Consider the following 22,414-nt stretch of genomic DNA (forward strand, 5'->3'; position numbering starts at 1 on the left):
ATTAGGCCAGCTTGGAGGATTTCGTTGGAAACGGGAATACGTATAAAAAGCAGACAGCAGCATTGTCAGAAACTACTTTGTGATGTTTGCATTCAAGTCACAGAATTGAACACTCCCTTTCACAGAGCAGGTTTGAAACACTCTTTTTGTAGTGTCTATAAGTGAACATTTGGCGTGCTTTCAGGCCTAACGTGAAAAAGGAAATATCTTCCCATAAAAACTAGACAGAAGCATTCTCAGAAACTTGTTCGTGATGTGTGCCCTCTACTGACAGAGTTGAACCTTTCTTTGCAAAGAGCAGCTTTGAAACACACTTTTTGTAGAATCTGCAAGAGGATATTTGGATAGCTTGGAGGATTTCGTTGGAAACGGGTATGTCTTCAGATAAACTCTAGACAGAAGCATTCTCAGAAACTTCTTTGGGATGTTGCATGCAAGTCACAGAGTAGAACATTCCCATTCATAGAGCAGATTTGAAACACTCTTTTTGTAGTATCTGGAAGTGGACATTTGGAGCGCTTTCAGGCCTATGTTGAAAAAGGAAATATCTTCCCATAAAAACTAGACGGAAGCATTCTCAGAAACTTATTTGTGATGTGTTTGCTCAACTAACAGGATTGAACCATCGTTTTGAAGGAGCAGTTTTGAAACACTGTTTTCGTGGAATCTGCAAGTGGATATTTGGCTAGCTGGGAGGATTTCGTTGGAAACGGGATTACATATAAAAAGGAGACAGCAGCATTCTCAGAAACTTCTTTGTGATGTCTGCATTCAATTCACAGAGTTGAGCATTCCCTTTCATAGAGCAGGTTGGAAACACTCTTTTTGTAGTATCTGGATGTGGACATTTGGATCGCTTTCAGGCCTATGGTGAAAAAGGATATATCTTCCCATGAAAACTAGACAGAAGCATTCTCAGAAACTTATTTGTGATGTGTGCCCTCAACTGACAGTGTTGAACCTTTGTTTTGATAGAGCAGTTCTGAAACACACTTTTTGTAAAATCTGCAAGAGGATATTTGGATAGCTTTGAGGATTTCGTTGGAAACGGGAATGTCTTCATGTAAACTCTAGACAGAAGCATTCTCAGAAACTGCTTTGGGATGTTTCAATTGAAGTCCCAGTGTTGAACATTCCCATTCATAGAGCAGGTTTGAAACACTCTTTTTGTACTATCTGGAAGTGGACATTTGGAGCGCTTTCAGGTCTACGGTGAAAAAGGAGATATCTTCCAATAAAAACTAGATAGAAGCAATGTCAGAACTTTTTTCATGATGTATCTACTCAGCAAACAGAGTTGAACCTTTCTTTTGAGGGAGCAGTTTTGAAACACTATTTTTGTGGAATATGCAAGTGGGTATTAGGCCAGCTTGGAGGATTTCGTTGGAAACGGGAATACGTATAAAAAGCAGACAGCAGCATTGTCAGAAACTACTTTGTGATGTTTGCATGCAAGTCACAGAACTGAACACTCCCTTTCACAGAGCAGGTTTGAAACACTCTTTTTGTAGTGTCTGTAAGTGAACATTTGGATTGCTTTCAGGCCTAAGGTGAAAAAGGAAATATCTTCCCATAAAAACTAGACAGAAGCATTCTCAGAAACTTGTTTGTGATGTGTGCCCTCTACTGACAGAGTTGAACCTTTCTTTGCAAAGAGCAGTTTTGAAACACTCTTTTTGTAGAATCTGCAAGAGGATATTTGGATAGCTTTGAGGATTTCTTGGGAAACGGGAATGTCTTCAGATAAACTCTAGACAGAAGCATTCTCAGAAACTTCTTTGGGATGTTTCAATTGAAGTCACAGTGTTGAACATTCCCTTTCACAGAGCAGGTTTGAAACACTCTTTTTGTAGTGTCTATAAGTGAACATTTGGCGTGCTTTCAGGCGTAACGTGAAAAAGGAAATATCTTCCCATAAAAACTAGACAGAAGCATTCTCAGAAACTTGTTCGTGATGTGTGCCCTCTACTGACAGAGTTGAACCTTTCTTTGCAAAGAGCAGCTTTGAAACACACTTTTTGTAGAATCTGCAAGAGGATATTTGGATAGCTTGGAGGATTTCGTTGGAAACGGGTATGTCTTCAGATAAACTCTAGACAGAAGCATTCTCAGAAACATCTTTGGGATGTTGCATTCAAGTCACAGAGTAGAACATTCCCATTCATAGAGCAGATTTGAAACACTCTTTTTGTAGTATCTGGAAGTGGACATTTGGAGCGCTTTCAGGCCTATGTTGAAAAAGGAAATATCTTCCCATAAAAACTAGACGGAAGCATTCTCTGAAACTTATTTGTGATGTGTTTGCTCAACTAACAGGATTGAACCATCGTTTTGAAGGAGCAGTTTTGAAACACTGTTTTCGTGGAATCTGCAAGTGGATATTTGGCTAGCTTTGAGGATTTCGTTGGAAACGGGATTACATATAAAAAGGAGACAGCAGCATTCTCAGAAACTTCTTTGTGATGTCTGCATTCAATTCACAGAGTTGAGCATTCCCTTTCATAGAGCAGGTTGGAAACACTCTTTTTGTAGTATCTGGATGAGGACATTTGGAGCGCTTTCAGGCGTATGGTGAAAAAGGAAATATCTTCCCGTAAAAACTAGACAGAAGCATTCTCAGAAGTTTATTTGTGATGTGTGCCCTCAACTAACAGAGTTGAACCTTTCTTTTGATAGAGCAGTTTTGAAACACTCTTTTTGTAAAATCTGCAAGAGGATATTTGGATAGCTTTGAGGATTTCGTTGCAAACGGGAATGGCTTCATATAAACTCTAGACAGAAGCATTCTCAGAAACTTCGTTGGGATGTTTCGATTGAAGTCCCAGTGTTGAACATTCCCTTTTATAGAGCAGGTTGGAAACACTCTTTCTGCATTCCCTGGAAGTGGACATTTGGAGCGCTTTCAGGACGACGGTGAAAATGGAAATATCTTCCAAGAAAATCTAGATAGAAGCAACGTCAGAAACTTTTCTGTGATGGATCTACTCAGCTAACAGAGTTGAACCTTTCTTTTGAGAGAGCAGTTTTGCAACACTCTTTTTGTGGAATATGCAAGTGGATATTAGGGCAGCTTTGAGGATTTCGTTGGAAACGGGAATACATGTAAAAAGCAGACAGCAGCATTCTCAGAAACTTCTTTGTGATGTTTGCATTGAAGTCACAGAGTTGAACATTCCCTTTGAGAGAGCAGGTTTGAAACACGCCTTTTGTCATATCTGGAAGTGTCCATTCGGAGCGCATTCAGGCTTGTGTTGAAAAAGGAAATATCCTCCCATAAAAACTAGACAGAAGCATTCTCAGAAACTTATCTGTGATGTATGTACTCAACTAACAGAACTAAACCACCGTTTTGAAGGGCAGTTTTGAAACACTCTTTTTGCGGAATCTGCAAGTGGATATTTGGCTAGCTGGGAGGATATCGTTGGAAACGGGATTACATACAAAAAGCAGACAGCAGCATTCTCAGAAACTTCTTTGTGATGTTTGCATTCAAGTCACAGAGTTGAACATTCCCTTTCATAGAGCAGGTTTGAAACACTCTTTTTGTAGTATCTGGATGTGGACATTTGGATCGCTTTCAGGCCTATGGTGAAAAAGGAAATATCTTCCCATGAAAACTAGACAGAAGCATTCTCAGAAACTTATTTGTGATGTGTGCCCTCAACTGACAGTATTGAACCTTTGTTTTGATAGAGCAGTTCTGAAACACACTTTTTGTAAAATCTGCAAGAGGATATTTGGATAGCTTTGAGGATTTCGTTGGAAACGGGAATGTCTTCATGTAAACTCTAGACAGAAGCATTCTCAGAAACTGCTTTGGGATGTTTCAATTGAAGTCCCAGTGTTGAACATTCCCTTTCATAGAGCAGGTTTGAAACACTCTTTTTGTACTATCTGGAAGTGGACATTTGGAGCGCTTTCAGGTCTACGGTGAAAAAGGAGATATCTTCCAATAAAAACTAGATAGAAGCAATGTCAGAACTTTTTTCATGATGTATCTACTCAGCAAACAGAGTTGAACCTTTCTTTTGAGAGAGCAGTTTTGAAACACTCTTTTTGTGGAATATGCAAGTGGGTATTAGGCCACCTTGGAGGATTTCGTTGGAAACGGGAATACGTATAAAAAGCAGACAGCAGCATTGTCAGAAACTACTTTGTGATGTTTGCATTCAAGTCACAGAATTGAACACTCCCTTTCACAGAGCAGGTTTGAAACACTCTTTTTGTAGTGTCTGTAAGTGAACATTTGGATTGCTTTCAGGCCTAAGGTGAAAAAGGAAATATCTTCCCATAAAAACTAGACAGAAGCATTCTCAGAAACTTGTTTGTGATGTGTGCCCTCTACTGACAGAGTTGAACCTTTCTTTGCAAAGAGCAGTTTTGAAACACTCTTTTTGTAGAATCTGCAAGAGGATATTTGGATAGCTTTGAGGATTTCTTGGGAAACGGGAATGTCTTCAGATAAACTCTAGACAGAAGCATTCTCAGAAACTTCTTTGGGATGTTTCAATTGAAGTCACAGTGTTGAACATTCCCTTTCACAGAGCAGGTTTGAAACACTCTTTTTGTAGTGTCTATAAGTGAACATTTGGCGTGCTTTCAGGCGTAACGTGAAAAAGGAAATATCTTCCCATAAAAACTAGACAGAAGCATTCTCAGAAACTTGTTCTTGATGTGTCCCCTCTACTGACAGAGTTGAACCTTTCTTTGCAAAGAGCAGCTTTGAAACACTCTTTTTGTAGAATCTGCAAGAGGATATTTGGATAGCTTTGAGGATTTCGTTGGAAACGGGTATGACTTCAGATAAACTCTAGACAGAAGCATTCTCAGAAACTTCTTTGGGATGTTGCATTCAAGTCACAGAGTAGAACATTCCCATTCATAGAGCAGATTTGAAACACTCTTTTTGTAGTATCTGGAAGTGGACATTTGGAGCGCTTTCAGGCCTATGTTGAAAAAGGAAATATCTTCCCATAAAAACTAGACGGAAGCATTCTCAGAAACTTATTTGTGATGTGTTTGCTCAACTAACAGGATTGAACCATCGTTTTGAAGGAGCAGTTTTGAAACACTGTTTTCGTGGAATCTGCAAGTGGATATTTGGCTAGCTTTGAGGATTTCGTTGGAAACGGGATTACATATAAAAAGGAGACAGCAGCATTCTCAGAAACTTCTTTGTGATGTCTGCATTCAATTCACAGAGTTGAGCATTCCCTTTCATAGAGCAGGTTGGAAACACTCTTTTTGTAGTATCTGGATGAGGACATTTGGAGCGCTTTCAGGCGTATGGTGAAAAAGGAAATATCTTCCCGTAAAAACTAGACAGAAGCATTCTCAGAAATTTATTTGTGATGTGTGCCCTCAACTAACAGAGTTGAACCTTTCTTTTGATAGAGCAGTTTTGAAACACTCTTTTTGTAAAATCTGCAAGAGGATATTTGGATAGCTTTGAGGATTTCGTTGCAAACGGGAATGGCTTCATATAAACTCTAGACAGAAGCATTCTCAGAAACTTCGTTGGGATGTTTCGATTGAAGTCCCAGTGTTGAACATTCCCTTTTATAGAGCAGGTTGGAAACACTCTTTCTGCATTCCCTGGAAGTGGACATTTGGAGCGCTTTCAGGACGACGGTGAAAATGGAAATATCTTCCAAGAAAATCTAGATAGAAGCAACGTCAGAAACTTTTCTGTGATGGATCTACTCAGCTAACAGAGTTGAACCTTTCTTTTGAGAGAGCAGTTTTGCAACACTCTTTTTGTGGAATATGCAAGTGGATATTAGGGCAGCTTTGAGGATTTCGTTGGAAACGGGAATACATGTAAAAAGCAGACAGCAGCATTCTCAGAAACTTCTTTGTGATGTTTGCATTGAAGTCACAGAGTTGAACATTCCCTTTGAGAGAGCAGGTTTGAAACACGCCTTTTGTCATATCTGGAAGTGTCCATTCGGAGCGCATTCAGGCTTGTGTTGAAAAAGGAAATATCCTCCCATAAAAACTAGACAGAAGCATTCTCAGAAACTTATCTGTGATGTATGTACTCAACTAACAGAACTAAACCATCGTTTTGAAGGAGCAGTTTTGAAACACTCTTTTTGCGGAATCTGCAAGTGGATATTTGGCTAGCTGGGAGGATTTCGTTGGAAACGGGATTACATACAAAAAGCAGACAGCAGCATTCTCAGAAACTTCTTTGTGATGTTTGCATTCAAGTCGCAGAGTTGAACATTCCCTTTCATAGAGCAGGTTTGAAACACTCTTTTTGTAGTATCTGGATGTGGACATTTGGATCGCTTTCAGGCCTATGGTGAAAAAGGAAATATCTTCCCATGAAAACTAGACAGAAGCATTCTCAGAAACTTATTTGTGATGTGTGCCCTCAACTGACAGTGTTGAACCTTTGTTTTGATAGAGCAGTTCTGAAACACACTTTTTGTAAAATCTGCAAGAGGATATTTGGATAGCTTTGAGGATTTCGTTGGAAACGGGAATGTCTTCATGTAAACTCTAGACAGAAGCATTCTCAGAAACTGCTTTGGGATGTTTCAATTGAAGTCCCAGTGTTGAACATTCCCTTTCATAGAGCAGGTTTGAAACACTCTTTTTGTACTATCTGGAAGTGGACATTTGGAGCGCTTTCAGGTCTACGGTGAAAAAGGAGATATCTTCCAATAAAAACTAGATAGAAGCAATGTCAGAACTTTTTTCATGATGTATCTACTCAGCAAACAGAGTTGAACCTTTCTTTTGAGAGAGCAGTTTTGAAACACTCTTTTTGTGGAATATGCAAGTGGGTATTAGGCCAGCTTGGAGGATTTCGTTGGAAACGGGAATACGTATAAAAAGCAGACAGCAGCATTGTCAGAAACTACTTTGTGATGTTTGCATTCAAGTCACAGAATTGAACACTCCCTTTCACAGAGCAGGTTTGAAACACTCTTTTTGTAGTGTCTGTAAGTGAACATTTGGATTGCTTTCAGGCCTAAGGTGAAAAAGGAAATATCTTCCCATAAAAACTAGACAGAAGCATTCTCAGAAACTTGTTTGTGATGTGTGCCCTCTACTGACAGAGTTGAACCTTTCTTTGCAAAGAGCAGTTTTGAAACACTCTTTTTGTAGAATCTGCAAGAGGATATTTGGATAGCTTTGAGGATTTCTTGGGAAACGGGAATGTCTTCAGATAAACTCTAGACAGAAGCATTCTCAGAAACTCCTTTGGGATGTTTCAATTGAAGTCACAGTGTTGAACATTCCCTTTCACAGAGCAGGTTTGAAACACTCTTTTTGTAGTGTCTATAAGTGAACATTTGGCGTGCTTTCAGGCCTAACGTGAAAAAGGAAATATCTTCCCATAAAAACTAGACAGAAGCATTCTCAGAAACTTGTTCTTGATGTGTCCCCTCTACTGACAGAGTTGAACCTTTCTTTGCAAAGAGCAGCTTTGAAACACTCTTTTTGTAGAATCTGCAAGAGGATATTTGGATAGCTTGGAGGATTTCGTTGGAAACGGGTATGTCTTCAGATAAACTCTAGACAGAAGCATTCTCAGAAACTTCTTTGGGATGTTGCATTCAAGTCACAGAGTAGAACATTCCCATTCATAGAGCAGATTTGAAACACTCTTTTTGTAGTATCTGGAAGTGGACATTTGGAGCGCTTTCAGGCCTATGTTGAAAAAGGAAATATCTTCCCATAAAAACTAGACGGAAGCATTCTCAGAAACTTAATTGTGATGTGTTTGCTCAACTAACAGGATTGAACCATCGTTTTGAAGGAGCAGTTTTGAAACACTGTTTTCGTGGAATCTGCAAGTGGATATTTGGCTAGCTTTGAGGATTTCGTTGGAAACGGGATTACATATAAAAAGGAGACAGCAGCATTCTCAGAAACTTCTTTGTGATGTCTGCATTCAATTCACAGAGTTGAGCATTCCCTTTCATAGAGCAGGTTGGAAACACTCTTTTTGTAGTATCTGGATGAGGACATTTGGATCGCTTTCAGGCCTATGGTGAAAAAGGAAATATCTTCCCATGAAAACTAGACAGAAGCATTCTCAGAAACTTATTTGTGATGTGTGCACTCAACTGACAGTGTTGAACCTTTGTTTTGATAGAGCAGTTCTGAAACACACTTTTTGTAAAATCTGCAAGAGGATATTTGGATAGCTTTGAGGATTTCGTTGGAAACGGGAATGTCTTCATGTAAACTCTAGACAGAAGCATTCTCAGAAACTGCTTTGGGATGTTTCAATTGAAGTCCCAGTGTTGAACATTCCCATTCATAGAGCAGGTTTGAAACACTCTTTTTCTACTATCTGGAAGTGGACATTTGGAGCGCTTTCAGGTCTACGGTGAAAAAGGAGATATCTTCCAATAAAAACTAGATAGAAGCAATGTCAGAACTTTTTTCATGATGTATCTACTCAGCAAACAGAGTTGAACATTTCTTTTGAGAGAGCAGTTTTGACACAGTCTTTGTGGAATATGCAAGTGGGTATTAGGCCAGCTTGGAGGATTTCGTTGGAAACGGGAATACGTATAAAAAGCAGACAGCAGCATTGTCAGAAACTACTTTGTGATGTTTGCATTCAAGTCACAGAATTGAACACTCCCTTTCACAGAGCAGGTTTGAAACACTCTTTTTGTAGTGTCTGTAAGTGAACATTTGGATTGCTTTCAGGCCTATGGTGAAAAAGGAAATATCTTCCCATAAAAACTAGACAGAAGCATTCTCAGAAACTTGTTTGTGATGTGTGCCCTCTACTGACAGAGTTGAACCTTTCTTTGCAAAGAGCAGTTTTGAAACACTCTTTTTGTAGAATCTGCAAGAGGATATTTGGATAGCTTTGAGGATTTCTTGGGAAACGGGAATGTCTTCAGATAAACTCTAGACAGAAGCATTCTCAGAAACTTCTTTGGGATGTTTCAATTGAAGTCACAGTGTTGAACATTCCCTTTCACAGAGCAGGTTTGAAACACTCTTTTTGTAGTGTCTATAATTGAACATTTGGCGTGCTTTCAGGCCTAACGTGAAAAAGGAAATATCTTCCCATACAAAACTAGACAGAAGCATTCTCAGAAACTTGTTTGTGATGTGTGCCCTCTACTGACAGAGTTGAACCTTTCTTTGCAAAGAGCAGCTTTGAAACACTCTGTTTGTAGAATCTGCAAGAGGATATTTGGATAGCTTTGAGGATTTCGTTGGAAACGGGTATGTCTTCACATAAACTCTAGACAGAAGCATTCTCAGAAACTTCTTTGGGATGTTGCATTCAAGTTACAGAGTAGAACATTCCCATTCATAGAGCAGATTTGAAACACTCTTTTTGTAGTATCTGGAAGTGGACATTTGGAGCGCTTTCAGGCCTATGTTGAGAAACGAAATATCTTCCCATAAAAACTAGACGGAAGCATTCTCAGAAACTTATTTCTGATGTGTTTGCTCAACTAACAGAATTGAACCATCGTTTTGAAGGAGCAGTTTTGAAACCCTGTTTTCGTGGAATCTGCAAGTGGATATTTGGCTAGCTTTGAGGATTTCGTTGGAAACGGGATTACCTATAAAAAGGAGACAGCAGCATTCTCAGAAACTTCTTTGTGATGTCTGCATTCAAGTCACAGAGTTGAGCATTCCCTTTCATAGAGCAGGTTTGAAACACTCTTTTTGTAGTATCTGGATGAGGACATTTGGAGCGCTTTCAGGCGTATGGTGAAAAAGGAAATATCTTCCCGTAAAAACTAGACAGAAGCATTCTCAGAAATTTATTTGTGATGTGTGCCCTCAACTAACAGAGTTGAACCTTTCTTTTGATAGAGCAGTTTTGAAACACTCTTTTTGTAAAATCTGCAAGAGGATATTTGGATAGCTTTGAGGATTTCATTGCAAACGGGAATGGCTTCATATAAACTCTAGACAGAAGCATTCTCAGAAACTTCGTTGGGATGTTTCGATTGAAGTCCCAGTGTTGAACATTCCCTTTTATAGAGCAGGTTGGAAACACTCTTTCTGCATTCCCTGGAAGTGGACATTTGGAGCGCTTTCAGGACGACGGTGAAAATGGAAATATCTTCCAAGAAAATCTAGATAGAAGCAACGTCAGAAACTTTTCTGTGATGGATCTACTCAGCTAACAGAGTTGAACCTTTCTTTTGAGAGAGCAGTTTTGCAACACTCTTTTTGTGGAATATGCAAGTGGATATTAGGGCAGCTTTGAGGATTTCGTTGGAAACGGGAATACATGTAAAAAGCAGACAGCAGCATTCTCAGAAACTTCTTTGTGATGTTTGCATTGAAGTCACAGCAGTTGAACATTCCCTTTGAGAGAGCAGGTTTGAAACACGCCTTTTGTCATATCTGGAAGTGTCCATTCGGAGCGCATTCAGGCTTGTGTTGAAAAAGGAAATATCCTCCCATAAAAACTAGACAGAAGCATTCTCAGAAACTTATCTGTGATGTATGTACTCAACTAACAGAACTAAACCATCGTTTTGAAGGAGCAGTTTTGAAACACTCTTTTTGCGGAATCTGCAAGTGGATATTTGGCTAGCTGGGAGGATTTCGTTGGAAACGGGATTACATACAAAAAGCAGACAGCAGCATTCTCAGAAACTTCTTTGTGATGTTAGCATTCAAGTCACAGAGTTGAACATTCCCTTTCATAGAGCAGGTTTGAAACACTCTTTTTGTAGTATCTGGATGTGGACATTTGGATCGCTTTCAGGCCTATGGTGAAAAAGGAAATATCTTCCCATGAAAACTAGACAGAAGCATTCTCAGAAATTTATTTGTGATGTGTGCCCTCAACTAACAGAGTTGAACCTTTCTTTTGATAGAGCAGTTTTGAAACACTCTTTTTGTAAAATCTGCAAGAGGATATTTGGATAGCTTTGAGGATTTCGTTGCAAACGGGAATGGCTTCATATAAACTCTAGACAGAAGCATTCTCAGAAACTTCGTTGGGATGTTTCGATTGAAGTCCCAGTGTTGAACATTCCCTTTTATAGAGCAGGTTGGAAACACTCTTTCTGCATTCCCTGGAAGTGGACATTTGGAGCGCTTTCAGGACGACGGTGAAAATGGAAATATCTTCCAAGAAAATCTAGATAGAAGCAACGTCAGAAACTTTTATGTGATGGATCTACTCAGCTAACAGAGTTGAACCTTTCTTTTGAGAGAGCAGTTTTGCAACACTCTTTTTGTGGAATATGCAAGTGGATATTAGGGCAGCTTTGAGGATTTCGTTGGAAACGGGAATACATGTAAAAAGCAGACAGCAGCATTCTCAGAAACTTCTTTGTGATGTTTGCATTGAAGTCACAGAGTTGAACATTCCCTTTGAGAGAGCAGGTTTGAAACACGCCTTTTGTCATATCTGGAAGTGTCCATTCGGAGCGCATTCAGGCTTGTGTTGAAAAAGGAAATATCCTCCCATAAAAACTAGACAGAAGCATTCTCAGAAACTTATTTGTGATGTATGTACTCAAGTAACAGAACTAAACCATCGTTTTGAAGGAGCAGTTTTGAAACACTCTTTTTGCGGAATCTGCAAGTGGATATTTGGCTAGCTGGGAGGATTTCGTTGGAAACGGGATTACATACAAAAAGCAGACAGCAGCATTCTCAGAAACTTCTTTGTGATGTTTGCATTCAAGTCACAGAGTTGAACATTCCCTTTCATAGAGCAGGTTTGAAACACTCTTTTTGTAGTATCTGGATGTGGACATTTGGATCGCTTTCAGGCCTATGGTGAAAAAGGAAATATCTTCCCATGAAAACTAGACAGAAGCATTCTCAGAAACTTATTTGTGATGTGTGCCCTCAACTGACAGTGTTGAACCTTTGTTTTGATAGAGCAGTTCTGAAACACACTTTTTGTAAAATCTGCAAGAGGATATTTGGATAGCTTTGAGGATTTCGTTGGAAACGGGAATGTCTTCATGTAAACTCTAGACAGAAGCATTCTCAGAAACTGCTTTGGGATGTTTCAATTGAAGTCCCAGTGTTGAACATTCCCTTTCATAGAGCAGGTTTGAAACACTCTTTTTGTACTATCTGGAAGTGGACATTTGGAGCGCTTTCAGGTCTACGGTGAACAAGGAGATATCTTCCAATAAAAACTAGATAGAAGCAATGTCAGAACTTTTTTCATGATGTATCTACTCAGCAAACAGTAGTTGAACCTTTCTTTTGAGAGAGCAGTTTTGAAACACTCTTTTTGTGGAATATGCAAGTGGGTATTAGGCCAGCTTGGAGGATTTCGTTGGAAACGGGAATACGTATAAAAAGCAGACAGCAGCATTGTCAGGAAACTACTTTGTGATGTTTGCATTCAAGTCACAGAATTGAACACTCCCTTTCACAGAGCAGGTTTGAAACACTCTTTTTGTAGTGTCTGTAAGTGAACATATGGATTGCTTTCAGGCCTAAGGTGAAAAAGGAAATATCTTCCCATAAAAACTAGACAGAAGCATTCTCAGAAACTTGTTTGTGATGTGTGCCCTCTACTGACAGAGTTGAACCTTTCTTTGCAAAGAGCAGTTTTGAAACACTCTTTTTGTAGAATCTGCAAGAGGATATTTGGATAGCTTTGAAGATTTCTTGGGAAACGGGAATGTCTTCAGATAAACTCTAGACAGAAGCATTCTCAGAAACTTCTTTGGGATGTTTCAATTGAAGTCACAGTGTTGAACATTCCCTTTCACAGAGCAGGTTTGAAACACTCTTTTTGTAGTGTCTATAAGTGAACATTTGGCGTGCTTTCAGGCGTAACGTGAAAAAGGAAATATCTTCCCATAAAAACCAGACAGAAGCGTTCTCAGAAACTTGTTCTTGATGTGTGCCCTCTACTGACAGAGTTGAACCTTTCTTTGCAAAGAGCAGCTTTGAAACACTCTTTTTGTAGAATCTGCAAGAGGATATTTGGATAGCTTTGAGGATTTCGTTGGAAACGGGTATGTCTTCAGATAAACTCTAGACAGAAGCATTCTCAGAAACTTCTTTGGGATGTTGCATTCAAGTCACAGAGTAGAACATTCCCATTCATAGAGCAGATTTGAAACACTCTTTTTGTAGTATCTGGAAGTGGACATTTGGAGCGCTTTCAGGCCTATGTTGAAAAAGGAAATATCTTCCCATGAAAACTAGACAGAAGCATTCTCAGAAACTTATTTGTGATGTGTGCCCTCAACTGACAGTGTTGAACCTTTGTTTTGATAGAGCAGTTCTGAAACACACTTTTTGTAAAATCTGCAAGAGGATATTTGGATAGCTTTGAGGATTTCGTTGGAAACGGGAATGTCTTCATGTAAACTCTAGACAGAAGCATTCTCAGAAACTGCTTTGGGATGTTTCAATTGAAGTCCCAGTGTTGAACATTCCCATTCATAGAGCAGGTTTGAAACACTCTTTTTGTACTATCTGGAAGTGGACATTTGGAGCGCTTTCAGGTCTACGGTGAAAAAGGAGATATCTTCCAATAAAAACTAGATAGAAGCAATGTCAGAACTTTTTTCATGATGTATCTACTCAGCACACAGAGTTGAACCTTTCTTTTGAGAGAGCAGTTTTGAAACACTCTTTTTGTGGAATATGCAAGTGGGTATTAGGCCAGCTTGGAGGATTTCGTTGGAAACGGGAATACGTATAAAAAGCAGACAGCAGCATTGTCAGAAACTACTTTGTGATGTTTGCATTCAAGTCACAGAATTGAACACTCCCTTTCACAGAGCAGGTTTGAAACACTCTTTTTGTAGTGTCTGTAAGTGAACATATGGATTGCTTTCAGGCCTAAGGTGAAAAAGGAAATATCTTCCCATAAAAACTAGACAGAAGCATTCTCAGAAACTTGTTTGTGATGTGTGCCCTCTACTGACAGAGTTGAACCTTTCTTTGCAAAGACCAGTTTTGAAACACTCTTTTTGTAGAATCTGCAAGAGGATATTTGGATAGCTTTGAAGATTTCTTGGGAAACGGGAATGTCTTCAGATAAACTCTAGACAGAAGCATTCTCAGAAACTTCTTTGGGATGTTTCAATTGAAGTCACAGTGTTGAACATTCCCTTTCACAGAGCAGGTTTGAAACACTCTTTTTGTAGTGTCTATAAGTGAACATTTGGCGTGCTTTCAGGCCTAACGTGAAAAAGGAAATATCTTCCCATAAAAACTAGACAGAAGCATTCTCAGAAACTTGTTCGTGATGTGTGCCCTCTACTGACAGAGTTGAACCTTTCTTTGCAAAGAGCAGCTTTGAAACACTCTTTTTGTAGAATCTGCAAGAGGATATTTGGATAGCTTGGAGGATTTCGTTGGAAACGGGTATGTCTTCAGATAAACTCTAGACAGAAGCATTCTCAGAAACTTCTTTGGGATGTTGCATGCAAGTCACAGAGTAGAACATTCCCATTCATAGAGCAGATTTGAAACACTCTTTTTGTAGTATCTGGAAGAGGACATTTGGAGCGCTTTCAGGCCTATGTTGAAAAAGGAAATATCTTCCCATAAAAACTAGACGGAAGCATTCTCAGAAACTTAATTGTGATGTGTTTGCTCAACTAACAGGATTGAACCATCGTTTTGAAGGAGCAGTTTTGAAACACTGTTTTCGTGGAATCTGCAAGTGGATATTTGGCTAGCTTTGAGGATTTCGTTGGAAACGGGATTACATATAAAAAGGAGACAGCAGCATTCTCAGAAACTTCTTTGTGATGTCTGCATTCAATTCACAGAGTTGAGCATTCCCTTTCATAGAGCAGGTTGGAAACACTCTTTTTGTAGTATCTGGATGTGGACATTTGGATCGCTTTCAGGCCTATGGTGAAAAAGGAAATATCTTCCCATGAAAACTAGACAGAAGCATTCTCAGAAACTTATTTGTGATGTGTGCACTCAACTGACAGTGTTGAACCTTTGTTTTGATAGAGCAGTTCTGAAACACACTTTTTGTAAAATCTGCAAGAGGATATTTGGATAGCTTTGAGGATTTCGTTGGAAACGGGAATGTCTTCATGTAAACTCTAGACAGAAGCATTCTCAGAAACTGCTTTGGGATGTTTCAATTGAAGTCCCAGCGTTGAACATTCCCATTCATAGAGCAGGTTTGAAACACTCTTTTTGTACTATCTGGAAGTGGACATTTGGAGCGCTTTCAGGTCTACGGTGAAAAAGGAGATATCTTCCAATAAAAACTAGATAGAAGCAATGTCAGAACTTTTTTCATGATGTATCTACTCAGCAAACAGAGTTGAACCTTTCTTTTGAGAGAGCAGTTTTGACACAGTCTTTGTGGAATATGCAAGTGGGTATTAGGCCAGCTTGGAGGATTTCGTTGGAAACGGGAATACGTATAAAAAGCAGACAGCAGCATTGTCAGAAACTACTTTGTGATGTTTGCATTCAAGTCACAGAATTGAACACTCCCTTTCACAGAGCAGGTTTGAAACACTCTTTTTGTAGTGTCTGTAAGTGAACATTTGGATTGCTTTCAGGCCTATGGTGAAAAAGGAAATATCTTCCCATAAAAACTAGACAGAAGCATTCTCAGAAACTTGTTTGTGATGTGTGCCCTCTACTGACAGAGTTGAACCTTTCTTTGCAAAGAGCAGTTTTGAAACACTCTTTTTGTAGAATCTGCAAGAGGATATTTGGATAGCTTTGAGGATTTCTTGGGAAACGGGAATGTCTTCAGATAAACTCTAGACAGAAGCATTCTCAGAAACTTCTTTGGGATGTTTCAATTGAAGTCAGAGTGTTGAACATTCCCTTTCACAGAGCAGGTTTGAAACACTCTTTTTGTAGTGTCTATAATTGAACATTTGGCGTGCTTTCAGGCCTAACGTGAAAAAGGAAATATCTTCCCATAAAAACTAGACAGAAGCATTCTCAGAAACTTGTTCGTGATGTGTGCCCTCTACTGACAGAGTTGAACCTTTCTTTGCAAAGAGCAGCTTTGAAACACTCTTTTTGTAGAATCTGCAAGAGGATATGTGGATAGCTTTGAGGATTTCGTTGGAAACGGGTATGTCTTCAGATAAACTCTAGACAGAAGCATTCTCAGAAACTTCTTTGGGATGTTTCAATTGAAGTCACAGTGTTGAACATTCCCTTTCACAGAGCAGGTTTGAAACACTCTTTTTGTAGTGTCTATAAGTGAACATTTGGCGTGCTTTCAGGCCTAACGTGAAAAAGGAAATATCTTCCCATAAAAACTAGACAGAAGCATTCTCAGAAACTTGTTCTTGATGTGTCCCTTCTACTGACAGAGTTGAACCTTTCTTTGCAAAGAGCAGCTTTGAAACACTCTTTTTGTAGAATCTGCAAGAGGATATTTGGATAGCTTTGAGGATTTCGTTGGAAACGGGTATGTCTTCAGATAAACTCTAGACAGAAGCATTCTCAGAAACTTCTTTGGGATGTTGCATTCAAGTCACAGAGTAGAACATTCCCATTCATAGAGCAGATTTGAAACACTCTTTTTGTAGTATCTGGAAGTGGACATTTGGAGCGCTTTCAGGCCTATGTTGAAAAAGGAAATATCTTCCCATAAAAACTAGACGGAAGCATTCTCAGAAACTTACTTGTGATGTGTTTGCTCAACTAACAGAATTGAACCATCGTTTTGAAGGAGCAGTTTTGAAACACTGTTTTCGTGGAATCTGCAAGTGGATATTTGGCTAGCTTTGAGGATTTCGTTGGAAACGGGATTACATATAAAAAGGAGACAGCAGCATTCTCAGAAACTTCTTTGTGATGTCTGCATTCAAGTCACAGAGTTGAGCATTCCCTTTCATAGAGCAGGTTGGAAACACTCTTTTTGTAGTATCTGGATGAGGACATTTGGAGCGCTTTCAGGCCTATGGTGAAAAAGGAAATATCTTCCCGTAAAAACTAGACAGAAGCATTCTCAGAAGTTTATTTGTGATGTGTGCCCTCAACTAACAGAGTTGAACCTTTCTTTTGATAGAGCAGTTTTGAAACACTCTTTTTGTAAAATCTGCAAGAGGATATTTGGATAGCTTTGAGGATTTCGTTGCAAACGGGAATGGCTTCATATAAACTCTAGACAGAAAGCATTCTCAGAAACTTCGTTGGGATGTTTCGATTGAAGTCCCAGTGTTGAACATTCCCTTTTATAGAGCAGGTTGGAAACACTCTTTCTGCATTCCCTGGAAGTGGACATTTGGAGCGCTTTCAGGACGACGGTGAAAATGGAAATATCTTCCAAGAAAATCTAGATAGAAGCAATGTCAGAAACTTTTATGTGATGGATCTACTCAGCTAACAGAGTTGAACCTTTCTTTTGAGAGAGCAGTTTTGCAACACTCTTTTTGTGGAATATGCAAGTGGATATTAGGGCAGCTTTGAGGATTTCGTTGGAAACGGGAATATATGTAAAAAGCAGACAGCAGCATTCTCAGAAACTTCTTTGTGATGTTTGCATTGAAGTCACAGAGTTGAACATTCCCTTTGAGAGAGCAGGTTTGAAACACGCCTTTTGTCATATCTGGAAGTGTCCATTCGGAGCGCATTCAGGCTTGTGTTGAAAAAGGAAATATCCTCCCATAAAAACTAGACAGAAGCATTCTCAGAAACTTATCTGTGATGTATGTACTCAACTAACAGAACTAAACCATCCTTTTGAAGGAGCAGTTTTGAAACACTCTTTTTGCGGAATCTGCAAGTGGATATTTGGCTAGCTTGGGAGGATTTCGTTGGAAACGGGATTACATACAAAAAGCAGACAGCAGCATTCTCAGAAACTTCTTTGTGATGTTTGCATTCAAGTCACAGAGTTGAACATTCCCTTTCATAGAGCAGGTTTGAAACACTCTTTTTGTAGTATCTGGATGTGGACATTTGGATCGCTTTCAGGCCTATGGTGAAAAAGGAAATATCTTCCCATGAAAACTAGACAGAAGCATTCTCAGAAACTTATTTGTGATGTGTGCCCTCAACTGACAGTGTTGAACCTTTGTTTTGATAGAGCAGTTCTGAAACACACTTTTTGTAAAATCTGCAAGAGGATATTTGGATAGCTTTGAGGATTTCGTTGGAAACGGGAATGTCTTCATGTAAACTCTAGACAGAAGCATTCTCAGAAACTGCTTTGGGATGTTTCAATTGAAGTCCCAGTGTTGAACATTCCCTTTCATAGAGCAGGTTTGAAACACTCTTTTTGTACTATCTGGAAGTGGACATTTGGAGCGCTTTCAGGTCTACGGTGAAAAAGGAGATATCTTCCAATAAAAACTAGATAGAAGCAATGTCAGAACTTTTTTCATGATGTATCTACTCAGCAAACAGAGTTGAACCTTTCTTTTGAGAGAGCAGTTTTGAAACACTCTTTTTGTGGAATATGCAAGTGGGTATTAGGCCAGCTTGGAGGATTTCGTTGGAAACGGGAATACGTATAAAAATCAGACAGCAGCATTGTCAGAAACTACTTTGTGATGTTTGCATTCAAGTCACAGAATTGAACACTCCCTTTCACAGAGCAGGTTTGAAACACTCTTTTTGTAGTGTCTGTAAGTGAACATTTGGATTGCTTTCAGGCCTAAGGTGAAAAAGGAAATATCTTCCCATAAAAACTAGACAGAAGCATTCTCAGAAACTTGTTTGTGATGTGTGCCCTCTACTGACAGAGTTGAACCTTTCTTTGCAAAGACCAGTTTTGAAACACTCTTTTTGTAGAATCTGCAAGAGGATATTTGGATAGCTTTGAGGATTTCTTGGGAAACGGGAATGTCTTCAGATAAACTCTAGACAGAAGCATTCTCAGAAACTTCTTTGGGATGTTTCAATTGAAGTCACAGTGTTGAACATTCCCTTTCACAGAGCAGGTTTGAAACACTCTTTTTGTAGTGTCTATAAGTGAACATTTGGCGTGCTTTCAGGCCTAACGTGAAAAAGGAAATATCTTCCCATAAAAACTAGACAGAAGCATTCTCAGAAACTTGTTCGTGATGTGTGCCCTCTACTGACAGAGTTGAACCTTTCTTTGCAAAGAGCAGCTTTGAAACACACTTTTTGTAGAATCTGCAAGAGGATATTTGGATAGCTTGGAGGATTTCGTTGGAAACGGGTATGTCTTCAGATAAACTCTAGACAGAAGCATTCTCAGAAACTTCTTTGGGATGTTGCATTCAAGTCACAGAGTAGAACATTCCCATTCATAGAGCAGATTTGAAACACTCTTTTTGTAGTATCTGGAAGTGGACATTTGGAGCGCTTTCAGGCCTATGTTGAAAAAGGAAATATCTTCCCATAAAAACTAGACGGAAGCATTCTCAGAAACTTATTTGTGATGTGTTTGCTCAACTAACAGGATTGAACCATCGTTTTGAAGGAGCAGTTTTGAAACACTGTTTTCGTGGAATCTGCAAGTGGATATTTGGCTAGCTTGAGGATTTCGTTGGAAACGGGATTACATATAAAAAGGAGACAGCCAGCATTCTGAGAAACTTCTTTGTGATGTCTGCATTCAATTCACAGAGTTGAGCATTCCCTTTCATAGAGCAGGTTTGAAACACTCTTTTTGTAGTATCTGGATGTGGACATTTGGATCGCTTTCAGGCCTATGGTGAAAAAGGAAATATCTTCCCATGAAAACTAGACAGAGCATTCTCAGAAACTTATTTGTGATGTGTGCCCTCAACTGACAGTGTTGAACCTTTGTTTTGATAGAGCAGTTCTGAAACACACTTTTTGTAAAATCTGCAAGAGGATATTTGGATAGCTTTGAGGATTTCGTTGGAAACGGGAATGTCTTCATGTAAACTCTAGACAGAAGCATTCTCAGAAACTGCTTTGGGATGTTTCAATTGAAGTCCCAGTGTTGAACATTCCCTTTCATAGAGCAGGTTTGAAACACTCTTTTTGTACTATCTGGAAGTGGACATTTGGAGCGCTTTCAGGTCTACGGTGAAAAAGGAGATATCTTCCAATAAAAACTAGATAGAAGCAATGTCAGAACTTTTTTCATGATGTATCTACTCAGCAAACAGAGTTGAACCTTTCTTTTGAGAGAGCAGTTTTGAAACACTCTTTTTGTGGAATATGCAAGTGGGTATTAGGCCAGCTTGGAGGATTTCGTTGGAAACGGGAATACGTATAAAAAGCAGACAGCAGCATTGTCAGAAACTACTTTGTGATGTTTGCATTCAAGTCACAGAATTGAACACTCCCTTTCACAGAGCAGGTTTGAAACACTCTTTTTGTAGTGTCTGTAAGTGAACATTTGGATTGCTTTCAGGCCTAAGGTGAAAAAGGAAATATCTTCCCATAAAAACTAGACAGAAGCATTCTCAGAAACTTGTTTGTGATGTGTGCCCTCTACTGACAGAGTTGAACCTTTCTTTGCAAAGAGCAGTTTTGAAACACTCTTTTTGTAGAATCTGCAAGAGGATATTTGGATAGCTTTGAGGATTTCTTGGGAAACGGGAATGTCTTCAGATAAACTCTAGACAGAAGCATTCTCAGAAACTTCTTTGGGATGTTTCAATTGAAGTCACAGTGTTGAACATTCCCTTTCACAGAGCAGGTTTGAAACACTCTTTTTGTAGTGTCTATAAGTGAACATTTGGCGTGCTTTCAGGCGTAACGTGAAAAAGGAAATATCTTCCCATAAAAACCAGACAGAAGCATTCTCAGAAACTTGTTCTTGATGTGTCCCCTCTACTGACAGAGTTGAACCTTTCTTTGCAAAGAGCAGCTTTGAAACACTCTTTTTGTAGAATCTGCAAGAGGATATTTGGATAGCTTGGAGGATTTCGTTGGAAACGGGTATGTCTTCAGATAAACTCTAGACAGAAGCATTCTCAGAAACTTCTTTGGGATGTTGCATTCAAGTCACAGAGTAGAACATTCCCATTCATAGAGCAGATTTGAAACACTCTTTTTGTAGTATCTGGAAGTGGACATTTGGAGCGCTTTCAGGCCTATGTTGAAAAAGGAAATATCTTCCCATAAAAACTAGACGGAAGCATTCTCAGAAACTTACGTGTGATGTGTTTGCTCAACTAACAGAATTGAACCATCGTTTTGAAGGAGCAGTTTTGAAACACTGTTTTCGTGGAATCTGCAAGTGGATATTTGGCTAGCTTTGAGGATTTCGTTGGAAACGGGATTACATATAAAAAGGAGTCAGCAGCATTCTCAGCAAACTTCTTTGTGATGTCTGCATTCAAGTCACAGAGTTGAGCATTCCCTTTCATAGAGCAGGTTGGAAACACTCTTTTTGTAGTATCTGGATGAGGACATTTGGAGCGCTTTCAGGCGTATGGTGAAAAAGGAAATATCTTCCCGTAAAAACTAGACAGAAGCATTCTCAGAAATTTATTTGTGATGTGTGCCCTCAACTAACAGAGTTGAACCTTTCTTTTGATAGAGCAGTTTTGAAACACTCTTTTTGTAAAATCTGCAAGAGGATATTTGGATAGCTTTGAGGATTTCGTTGCAAACGGGAATGGCTTCATATAAACTCTAGACAGAAGCATTCTCAGAAACTTCGTTGGGATGTTTCGATTGAAGTCCCAGTGTTGAACATTCCCTTTTATAGAGCAGGTTGGAAACACTCTTTCTGCATTCCCTGGAAGTGGACATTTGGAGCGCTTTCAGGACGACGGTGAAAATGGAAATATCTTCCAAGAAAATCTAGATAGAAGCAACGTCAGAAACTTTTCTGTGATGGATCTACTCAGCTAACAGAGTTGAACCTTTCTTTTGAGAGAGCAGTTTTGCAACACTCTTTTTGTGGAATATGCAAGTGGATATTAGGGCAGCTTTGAGGATTTCGTTGGAAACGGGAATACATGTAAAAAGCAGACAGCAGCATTCTCAGAAACTTCTTTGTGATGTTTGCATTGAAGTCACAGAGTTGAACATTCCCTTTGAGAGAGCAGGTTTGAAACACGCCTTTTGTCATATCTGGAAGTGTCCATTCGGAGCGCATTCAGGCTTGTGTTGAAAAAGGAAATATCCTCCCATAAAAACTAGACAGAAGCATTCTCAGAAACTTATCTGTGATGTATGTACTCAACTAACAGAACTAAACCATCGTTTTGAAGGAGCAGTTTTGAAACACTCTTTTTGCGGAATCTGCAAGTGGATATTTGGCTAGCTGGGAGGATTTCGTTGGAAACGGGATTACATACAAAAAGCAGACAGCAGCATTCTCAGAAACTTCTTTGTGATGTTTGCATTCAAGTCACAGAGTTGAACATTCCCTTTCATAGAGCAGGTTTGAAACACTCTTTTTGTAGTATCTGGATGTGGACATTTGGATCGCTTTCAGGCCTATGGTGAAAAAGGAAATATCTTCCCATGAAAACTAGACAGAAGCATTCTCAGAAACTTATTTGTGATGTGTGCCCTCAACTGACAGTGTTGAACCTTTGTTTTGATAGAGCAGTTCTGAAACACA

At 39.3% G+C, this 22,414-nt stretch overlaps 1 annotated feature.

The window, feature by feature from the left end:
* Window positions 1–22,414: part of a centromere (Linear centromere model derived predominantly from reads generated in PMID: 17803354. This region does not represent an actual centromere sequence, as long-range ordering of repeats and unmapped WGS contigs is not provided by the model. For details of model production, see http://arxiv.org/abs/1307.0035.) that runs on past both edges of the window.

Source organism: Homo sapiens, chromosome 20, assembly GCF_000001405.40.
Source record: "Homo sapiens chromosome 20, GRCh38.p14 Primary Assembly".
In the NCBI taxonomy this organism is placed as follows: Eukaryota; Metazoa; Chordata; class Mammalia; order Primates; family Hominidae; genus Homo; species Homo sapiens.